This window comes from Homo sapiens, chromosome X, assembly GCF_000001405.40.
Source record: "Homo sapiens chromosome X, GRCh38.p14 Primary Assembly".
In the NCBI taxonomy this organism is placed as follows: Eukaryota; Metazoa; Chordata; class Mammalia; order Primates; family Hominidae; genus Homo; species Homo sapiens.
In genome coordinates, this window is record NC_000023.11 from 34,480,095 (window position 1) to 34,490,754 (window position 10,660).

At 40.0% G+C, this 10,660-nt stretch overlaps 1 annotated feature.

The window, feature by feature from the left end:
* Positions 1,336 to 1,835: an enhancer, noted in NCBI's record as "H3K4me1 hESC enhancer chrX:34499547-34500046 (GRCh37/hg19 assembly coordinates)". NCBI's record gives its function as "activates a minimal SCP1, AML or CMV promoter by ChIP-STARR-seq in naive H9 embryonic stem cells {active_cell/tissue: H9 hESC(naive)}" and the evidence as "EXISTENCE:reporter gene assay evidence [ECO:0000049][PMID:30033119]".

Sequence of the window (10,660 nt, forward strand, 5' to 3'; positions counted from 1 at the left end):
ATTTCCTTAAATGTCTTTTTCAAATGTCGTCCATTCTCCCCATCTCTTTCAGGAATGCCGATGAATCACAGATACAGACTCTTTACATAATCCCACATTTCTCAGAGGTTTTGTTCATTGCTTTTTATTCTGTTTTCTTTATTCTTATCTGGCTATCTTATTTCAGAAAGCCAGTCTTCAAGCTCAGAGATTATTTACTCAGCTTGGTCTATTCTACTGGTAATATCTGTGATTGCATTATAAAATTCTGGTAGTGTGTTTTTCATTTCTATCAGGTCAGTTACATCCTTTTCTTTATAGGCTATTTTGTCTCTTGGGTCTTGTATCATTTTACAGTGATTCTTAACTTCCTTGAATTGTGTTTCAATGTTCTCCTGAATCTCAATAATCTTCATTCCTATCCATATTTTGAATTCTATTTCTGTCATTTCAGCCATCTCAGCTTAGTTCATAACCCTTCTTGTAGAGCTAGTATGGTCATTAGGAAGAAAGAAGGCACTCTGACTTTTTGAGTTGTCAGAGTTCTTGTACTGGTTCTTTCTCATCTTTGTGGGCTGACGGTCCTTCAGTCTTTGAAGTTGCCCTCCTTTGATGTTTATTTTTCCTCTTTATTCTATTTGATTCCCTTGGTGGTTTGATAGTGATATAAGGTGGGTTCAGTCGACTGACTTTATTTCTGAAATCTTTTAGTCAGGAGATAAGGCTCAGCTCAAGAATCCTGGACTGCATGCTTTAACTCTGGGTGAATGTTATTCAGTCCTTGCTTTGTTCTATGGCCCCTCAACATTGGGAACCTGGAGTGATAGAGAGGCCAAGGTGCTCCCAGGCCACTGGTCACAACACTTCAATGGGTGGTGCCACCCAAAGCACTTAGCAGGGAGGTGGCAGCGAGACCAGTTCTCATTTGCTTGTGCTGGTGGCAGTGCAGTGGAGTGCACTCCCATTGGCTGCTGCAGTGTGCTAGCAAGTGCTAGGGTACTGGCCTCTGTGCAGGCTTTCACAGTAGTGGTTGATGTTAGCATGGCACAGAGGGGCAGGGTGCCCCAGCTAGTGTCCATGCAACCATTTGTGCCAGTGTTGGTGTCAGCATGTGGGTGAGGTGCTGGTAGACACAGGGTTGTGTGCACCCTCTGTTGCCATTCAAACGGCTGCTGTAGGGGGAGCTGCTGTGGGTGAAGGTGGTGGGTCCACTGTTCACCATGCCTAGTTTCGCACTGGTGGCAATGTTGGGACAGAACATTGGCGAGTGAGGCTAGTGTACTCCATGCCCACCAATGCTCCTATGGCAACGCCAGTGCAGTGGGGGTGAGGAGGCAGCAGAGTGCACTCACACCTGCAGCAGTGGCACGGCAGAGTGCATATGCACACAAGTGCTGGCAGGGAAGGGGAGGCCAGGTCCTTTTGTGCACATATGCACTGGCAAAGTCATTTGGGGTGGCTGTGGGCAAGTGCATGCAGACAAATTGTCACAGAGAAGGCTGCAGTGCAGGGAGAGTGCTGGCAGGCTGGTGTGTGTCCTCAGGCACCTCTCTGCTGAAGCTCTCTGCCAGTGAGGTGCATTCCACCAGCGCAGGAGGTATGATGTGGGCCCCCAGGAGGTACTCCTCCCCTGTGCACCTGAGGTTGCACTGCAAGCAGGCATGGCCAGGCTGGGGCCTTGGGACAGGCAAGCAGACTGAAGGGTGCTCAGTTCAGCCCAGCCTCATCTCACGGGCAAGACCTCCCTACAGAGTTGAGGTCTGACAGTTCCCCTGGGCTAAAGTTTCTTATAGCAGCAAGTCGAGCCTAGGGAAATAGGTGTCCCTTCCTGTGCTCCACTATAGACACTCCCACACCAAACCCTCTGGGCTCTACCCTGTCTGGAGTTCTGCCCTTGCCCCTTCTCTAAGCAGCGCTCCCTGCCAACTCAAGTGTCTACGGTGGTCATGAGCTATCCTTCTGCCAGGATTCCAGAGGCCTTTGGTGAGAGTGAGTTGCTCCTTGCTAAAAGAGGCTATTTTAAGCTGATAACAGCTGAACTTTGATCACATACAAAAACTTTACACTTTTACCTTCTCACACATTAAAAATGTGTTACGTCACAATTTATGTCTTTTTATATTCTGTATCTGTGATGGTTAATATTAAGTGTCAAACTGACTGGTTTGAAGGATACAAAGTATTGTTTCTGGGTGATTCTGGGTGTTGCCTGCAGAGATTAACATTTGAGTCAGTGGACTGGGAGAGGAAGACCCCCGCCTCAGGAAGACCCACTCACAATGTTGCGTTGGGGGGGGGGGGGAGGCACCATCCAACCAGCTGCCAGCACAGCTAGAAAAAGCAGGTAGAAGAAAGTGGAAGAAGCTGATTTTTTGAGTCTTCCAGCCTTCATTTTTCCCCTGTGCTGGATGCTTCCTGTCCTCAAACATCAGACTCCAAGTTCGCTGGCTTTGGACTCTTGGACTTACACCAGTGTTTTGCCAGGGGCTCTTAGGCCGTTGGCCACAGACTGAAGGCTGCACAGTCAGCTTCCTTAATTTTGAGGTTTTGGGACTTGGACTATGCCACTACTGGCTTCCTTGCTCCTCAACTTATAGATGGCTTATTGTGAGACTTCACTTTGTGAACTTGTGGGTTGATTCACCGTAATAAACTGCCCTTCATATATACATATATACATATATCTTATTAGTTCTGTCCCTCTAGAGAAACCTGACTAATGCAATGTCCCTTAAGAAATTATAATAGCTATTTTTATTTTTAATAGTTTTATTTTGAAGCTTTCATACTGAAGAATAATGGTGGTCACGTACAAACCACCATTACGATGTTATAATGGTATTCTAAATTTGACTACGTACTTTTTCTCCGGTGAGTTTTATACTTTCATATTTTTTTTTGTTACTAATTTGCATCAGGTTCTTTTCGTGTGAAGAAGTCTCTTTAGCATTTCTTGTAAGGCAGGTCTGATTGTGATGAACTTTCTCAGTTTCTGTTTGTCTGAGAAAGTCTTTATCTCCCTTTGATTCTGAAGGACATCTTTGACAGATATGGTATTCTTCGTCGACTTTTTTTTTTCTTCAGCACTTTTGATATATCATCCCACTGTCTCCTGGCCTATAAGCTTTCTGTTGAGAAATCTGCTACTAACCTCAAACTTCCTTATATGTTATGTCCTTCTTTTCTCTTGCTGCTTTCAGGATTCTCTTTTTGTCCTTGATTTTTGACAGTTTGATTATAATATGTCTATGCATCATCTTGTTTGGATTGAATCTGTTTGGAAACCCTTAATCTTTCTGTACTGGAATATTCATATATTTCTCCAAATTTGCAGAGCGTTCTGCTATTATAGCTTTAAATGAGCTTTCTACGTCTTTGTCTTTTTTTCTCCTTACATTGATGCGTGCTCTTTTGAAAACGTAAAGACTTATTCTAGTCTTTACAGACTGGCTTTGTCTGGGCGAGCCCTCTGCTTGTCGGCCCATCCAGAGATTCTGGGTAGGCTGCCTGGCATGTCTGGAGGTAGGCTTGCTGCTGGAGTCATTGTGCAGCCTGGCCTCTGGTGTCTTGGTCAGCAGGTGGGAAAGCCTGGCACTTGAGTATGCAGCATTAGTTCTGAATCCTGAATCCACTGGGGTGGACCTGTTAATTGCATTGGTAGAGATAGGCCTGAAACCTGGGTCCATTAATATGGGACAAAATCCAGTATGTGTGGAGGCTGGCCTGAAGTCTAGGCCCACAGGGGTTGACATGACATGGGGGTGGGCCCTTAACTTCAGTTCTCTAAGGCTGGCCTGGCAGTGAGGTGTGTCTGGACCCTAAGTCTGCAAAAGTAGGTCTGGATCTTGGGTCCATGAGGGCTAGACTGTAGTCTGGGTTTTCAGGGGTGTTCATGCAGTCTCAGTTCACAGGATTCGACCTGACAAAAGGGTTTCCTGGAGTGGTCCTGGACCCTGGGTTTTCTGGAACAGGCCTAGACCTGGGCCCTCTGGAGCCTCGGTTTGACCTGATGCTGACGCTGGCATGGAGCCGGTTTCTATGGGGACTGCTCTGGAGAGCAGGATTGTGGGTGTTAGCCTGGATCCTATGTCCACTGATGCTGGCCTGGGGGCTTGTTGTGCAGGTGCTAGCCTAGAGGCTAGGTCCGTGAAGGCTTGCCTGGGGTCTGAGACTGTGGGGGATGGCCAGGGACCTGGGTGCACACGTGCCAGTCCAGAATTGTGATCTACTGGGACTGGCCTGGATCCTGTTTCTGCTGGATCAGGCCTAATCCCTGGGTTGCTAGAACATAGTGCCACAGGTGCCAGTCTGGAGGCTTGGGCCAGAGAGACCAGCCTGGCACTGGGAAGGCTTGGAATCTGTGTCTCTGAGTGTCCACCTGGTATTTGAGGTTGGGCTGTGGACTTGGCTGAGAATAGTCCAGAGCCTGGGGCCACTGGGTTTAGGCTGGCAGTGGGGTGGCTCTGAGACAGACTCCATCTAGCATGCCTGGAGCCTGGAACCTGGAACTACAGGATCTGGCCTGGAGCTGAGGTGGCTGGAGGCTCAGACACAGGCACTGTCTAGAGTCTGGGGCCCTGGAGTTCTGCCTAGCACTGGGTTTTACTGGGGAATTCCCAGTATTGGGGTCCAAAGCTGGGACCATTGCTTACTTCCTTCCCCTTCCCCCATATGGAGGGTATCTCTTTCCATACTGTGCTACCTTAAGTTGGGAGAGAGGTAAAGAGGGTAACGTGAAGCTGTTCTTCCTACCCTTTTCAATGTGACTTTTCTTATTTCTTTGATATACTAAGATGCTGTAATCTATCACCTGTCACTTGTGAAGATATATTTGTACATGAATAATTGTTCAAATTTATGCTTTTGTGGGGGCACAAGTGCTTGAGAATTGCTTGAGAGTCCTATTTGCTGACATTTGTCCCCTTGAGCTTGAATTTAAATACATGCCATCTAACCCGAGGTCCTGGACACTTACCCATTATTCTATATAATAATGAGTAAATTGGAAATTTCTGAGCCCTATGATTATGACAATGTGACATGATCTGTTGTGAGAAGTTAGTAGGGGAGAGATCCTAGAAGCCTGATTTAACAGAAATCTCAGTCCCGTGAGATACAACTACAACAGATTCAATCAGTTAAGTGATAACAACACAGACTGAAATGATCAATAGTCTTAAAAGTCTAGGATTTGGGGGATGTGTCTAAAAAGGGCAGTTAATTTGAACATAGAGCCAATGCATGTGGTTTTCTGCTTTGTATTAAAGTAATTGCACTGGTCTTAAAAGGTAAACCCTGGCTTTGATTGAGCAGAAGTAAGCTGCTGGGATCCTTTGAAGACATTCATTAGAGATATAAAATAAATATAGAAAGACAATGTGTAAGTAGCAAGGGATTATTTTAGATGGCTAGCCGATCAAGCATATTTTAACCAGTCAATATAATACTTAGTAAAAAATAAACAGCATATGAGTGAACACAGATTTTTCAATCTAACATTCTGTGATTAGTAACAGAGTTTAATTAACATGTTGCTACCAATCTGAAACTCATATTTTGAGAAAAGCTTTTAAATTTCTTTCCCTCCTCCAGAGGACTCTAGGAAAGTATGAAGAAACATCTTTTTTTTTTTTTTTTTTTTCTTTCCTACATTTTCCCGAAATTTGCTTTTCTGGTTCTAAACATCATAGAATTGGAATGGCAGTTTCCAGGAGTTATTGTTAGCCAATGAAGTTAGTAAGGACGAATTTATAACAGGATACATTCACAGAGTTACCAATGCTTTCTATAAAAATGAATCTAAGGCTTTTGTTTTCTGTCGGAGAAAACAAAATTCTGTCTTTACCCAAGAAGAGGAAATTCACAGTCTAGGTGAAGAGGGTGAGCAAATCTAGGAGGCCAGGGAAGAGATATTGGAATTGTCTATTTTGGGGTTCAAACAGGACAGCAGGTAGATGTGTATAGGATTGTAATGAAGATTAAGGCACTAGACAGAACAAAGCAAGTGAAGAACAAGTTCACAAAGAGCAAGAAACATGGAAAGGTGGAAAGATTCACTGTTTGAAATTTGGGTGGTGGTGCTCTGCTGTCAGAGAAATGGGAACTTGGTCATGAGTGGAAGGAGAAAAGTGGAGATTGCAAGAGCTAATAAGGTTTAGGAAGTGAGTTAGGAGGTTATCCGAAGTGTTATTAGCATCAGTGTGGACTCTTCTTTCTGTATCCGGGCAATCTGCTCTGTGTTGTGAATTCCATGCCTGAAAGGTGCCAAGGTCTTACATAATAATTATATGATACATAATACATTAACTACATTTCCATATCACTTTATAATGTGATGTCACAGTGGTCAGTGTCTCTTTCTTCTTATGAGCCCTTTCTTATTATAACAGCACCATTCATTTAGACGTTTTCCCTTGTTGTCTGTGAAAGCATCTTAAGACTGTGAAAGATGAAGTGAAGGTATTAGATATTAAAATATTAAGACATTTGCAAAACAGTAAAATTTGATATGAGAATGTCTTTTAGGTTTGAGCAAAGTCCGTTTGAAATTCTCATTTTGAAAACATACCCGATTTAACTGATTTAGGGCCTGAGGGCATTAAGAATAAATGGAACATAGAATATATATGAATGGGTTATTGAAAGAAAGCAAGGAGTTCTGGGATTGGGCTTCACTCCTTCAAATGATTGCCATGAACTTCTTTGGGAAACAAATATATATGTTTGTCTTAGGTAACTAAGTGCATCAAGCCACAGAACAGCAGCCACCAACAGTTTGTCATGGCCAAGCAGCAGCAGTTCAGTGGCTCTGAGTGGTGAAAGGAACATGACATGAGTGTGTTTGTGGAGATTCCAGAACTACATTCTCAATGCTACCTGAGTCAGCAATTCATTTGCCAATTGTATAAAATTCCCAGTACTACTGATTTATTTATTTTTCTTTTAAAAGGAACATAAAATTCTGTATTGTTTTAAGTTAAAAAAATCCACCTGTGCTTATCAAGCTAAATAAGTTGATTTTTGCATCACAGTTATAAAATGTGTAAATGTGTATCACTGTTTTTACTTGATAATAATATATCTGGTTATTTCATTTTTGTTGGAACAGAGTAATATATTTAACATAAAATATAAATTAGAATATAAAGTTCACAGTGGGAACTGAAATTATTGTTAGAGTTTGAAAAATGAGATAACATTTATGAAATTATAACTATTTATCACTGGGCTTCATGTTCAAAGACATCTGCTGATGGTGTTCATAATCTTTCAATGTGGGTGTGATTAAGACACAAATATGTGAATAGAAATGTAAGGTTATCTTTTAATATCTTTAAATTTTTTGACTACTATATTATTTTCAAAGACTTATTCTATTAGCAAGTGTGTATTGTTATTACATTAATTTTCTTTAAGTGAGGGACTGCTTAATTGTGCACTTTTAAGATATGTCATTTCCTTTTCTTGTGTTTAGGAAAGAATGACTCAAAGGCCCACAGAGTTCTTATGTCTAGAAATTGAATAATTTGGAAATAAAAGTAAAACCTCCCTTTCCTCAGTCAAGTTCCTGAATACAAAATTGACAAATGTTTTCCTTAAAACAGCACACTACTGGGCTGATTTAATCTCTACTGCTTTTATAAGCCAGAGTATAATTTTTGAAGGGTGTTTTAGTGTGTCCTTAAGGATCTTATTGTACCTGTCTTCTTTATAGTTCTTCCAATTTGGTTTGTCAAGCTGTAGCTTTTTTAAGCCACATATTCCTTCTATCACGTACGTGCTGCTAGTACTAAAAATGATTGCTCAAAACAAACTCAGTGAAAACAAAAGTGAATTATATTCTTGTTGCCTTAAATACCATTCTTAAAGTGGAATCTTACCGCAATCTATCAGGTTTATTATGCCCAGCAGACTTATTTAGAATATCCAGCATAATCATCTGCCTGTAGCCATTAATGCCAGTATGCAGGCCCTGTCACAGTTTTAGAAATACTCCAAGCCTTGTTGGAGAAGGAAGTCATGATTGCAATCAATAATCAAGTTCACCTGGCTACTCTTGTAGTTTGACTTTATGTCACAGTTTCAGGAACTTAGTTTCTTTTTGAGATCAAGTCCTTACCTTATGACTCAGTTATTTATTTGGACTCTAATATCAGTCCTGATCTTGATAAACAACGAAGCACTTCAATAACTTCAGGACTGGAAGTCTGATTTTCTCATGCTCCCATCTCTGCTACTAGAGACCTGATTCTTTTTTTTTTTTAATTTATTTTTTATTTTTATTTATTTATTTATTTATTTTATTATACTTTAAGTTTTAGGGTACATGTGCACATTGTGCAGGTTAGTTACATATGTATACATGTGACATGCTGGTGCACTGCACCCACTAACTCGTCATCTAGCATTAGGTATATCTCCCAATGCTATCCCTCCCCCCTCCCCTCACCCCACAACAATCCCCAGAGTGTGATATTCCCCTTCCTGTGTCCATGTGATCTCATTGTTCAATTCCCACCTATGAGTGAGAATATGCAGTGTTTGGTTTTTTGTTCTTGCGAACTTCAAACCATATGGCACGGGGCTGGATTCCTGTTTACTCTTATGTCTTAACAAGTAGTAGCCTGCCAGCTTAATACATCTCAATATATTCCTTCCTGGAGGTCCCTGTTATTTGTACCTCATATGCCAGCTATGTCACCTTTACTACAGCTCTGCAGGATGATCAGTTACCTGTTATTTTCTCTCAGAATAATCGACTTTTCCTGTCTAGCTGGACTTCCTCACCTCTCCAGCAACATTTTCTCTGGTTTCAGGTCCAAACTCTGTAGGACTTGACCCCTGTCTTGAAATTAAACCTTCTGTGAAAAACCATTCGACAGAGGAAATTTAAATCATCCATGGTGGTTTGCATTATCTATTTCAAGATCTCTTTGTAGATGGCTATCAAAAACATTTAATGTTATCTATTATGTATTTTGTTCAAAACTTTCTATGAATCTTCTATTATCTCTGAAAATTATACATTAATATCTCCAAAATTCACTAGCTATAAGAGGTATAAAAATATAGATAAAATATTCAGATTCTTTAAAAATATCTCATTTTACCACATATAAAATATATCTATCAAAAAAGTATAACATTTCTGTTTAATCTGTTAGAACATGTTATCTATTTAAATGAGTCATTATAAGTCTGTTGTGTACAAAAAAATCAGTTAAAACGCTGCAAAAAAAAAAAACCCAGTGCCTCTGTTAAGATGACATTCAAATTAGTAAATGAAGTAAAAAAAGAAAGAAAAGTAAGAAGTACAGAGCAGAAAAAAATATGAACTTATGCTGGCTTCTTTCAACATCAATAGATTTAAAAAACTGGAACTAAGTTGAATTTGATACACATATTCAGTTTGTGCTTGAAAATATTTTTTCTCTAGAAAAATGAAATTTTTTAACATTAAGTCCCTTATGCCAACTTCACTAATAGTCTAACCTGAGGAAGACATGTTACTTTCTTAAATATGCCACACATTATTGTCTTAAAATGACATCTGACATAAAACATAAGAAGTAAATTCATAATAATGTGGTTCAGAGGAACATATCCATTGCTGGAACAGTAATTGTTTGGATGCCACTTGGAAAAATAATATCAAACAAAATATGAATCTTCAACAAAAGTCTTCCCATGTTTAAATTCTCCTAATAAATGGTAACACTTTTTTAGAGGCGGCATATCAAGGATTTAAAGAATTTGTGTGAGAAGAGAACTGAGTAAACAACATCCATTTCTTCCATGTATTTGCTGTATGATCTTTGACAAGTCTTTCCTCCATTTCGTCATTTGCCTGCTTATCCATACTTTTTAAAAATACTGAATGAGTTCATTTATATAAGCTGCTTAACAGTGTGCTTAGCATATGGAAATGCCTAATAAACAGTAGTTAGCATTATTGTTATAATTTTAACTATGAGTAACCAACACATTTCTGTAGTTATTATTTGTTTTCATTTGTATTAAAATGCTCTGAAATGCCATTAATAACACATAACATTTTATCACCGATTCTATGTGTGGGATATTTTAAATATTTAATCTGGCTGTCGCATTTTGCTTTTGCAGAAGGTATGTTGAGATATGTAGAAAAGACAAATGAAAACATTTTTAAAAGGTTTATTTTAAGTAGTTTATTTCTTGACAATACATTCAGAGCACAGGAAAATTGATTCTTTCACATGCATTCTTTAAAACCTCTTGCCCAAAGAGCCTATAGCATCATTCATCATTTCCTACTGTTTCTACATCCATCACATCGTTTTCCTTTGCTTTCCATATGACCTCCTTATTTCTTCTAGTTATAATAGCAAGCAGAACTAATCATGAATAAATTCAAATTTGGGACAAAGGAGAAGCTCAATGGCCAGATGAGACCTTAGGTCTCTCTGGCCCATGGCCCTAGGGTAATCTTATCTATCATGAGAAAGAGTCTGTTATATCCCAGCTGTGCACAAGGCTAGGCTAGGCATTAGAGTAAATTAAATGGGCATGATCTGCCAGCCTGGTAAGCATCTTTTTTTTTTTTTTACCTTTCATTTTAGTTTCAGGGGTCTATGTGCAGGTTTGTTATATAGGTAAATTGCGTGTCTTGAGGGTTTGGTGTACAAATTATTTCATCACCGAG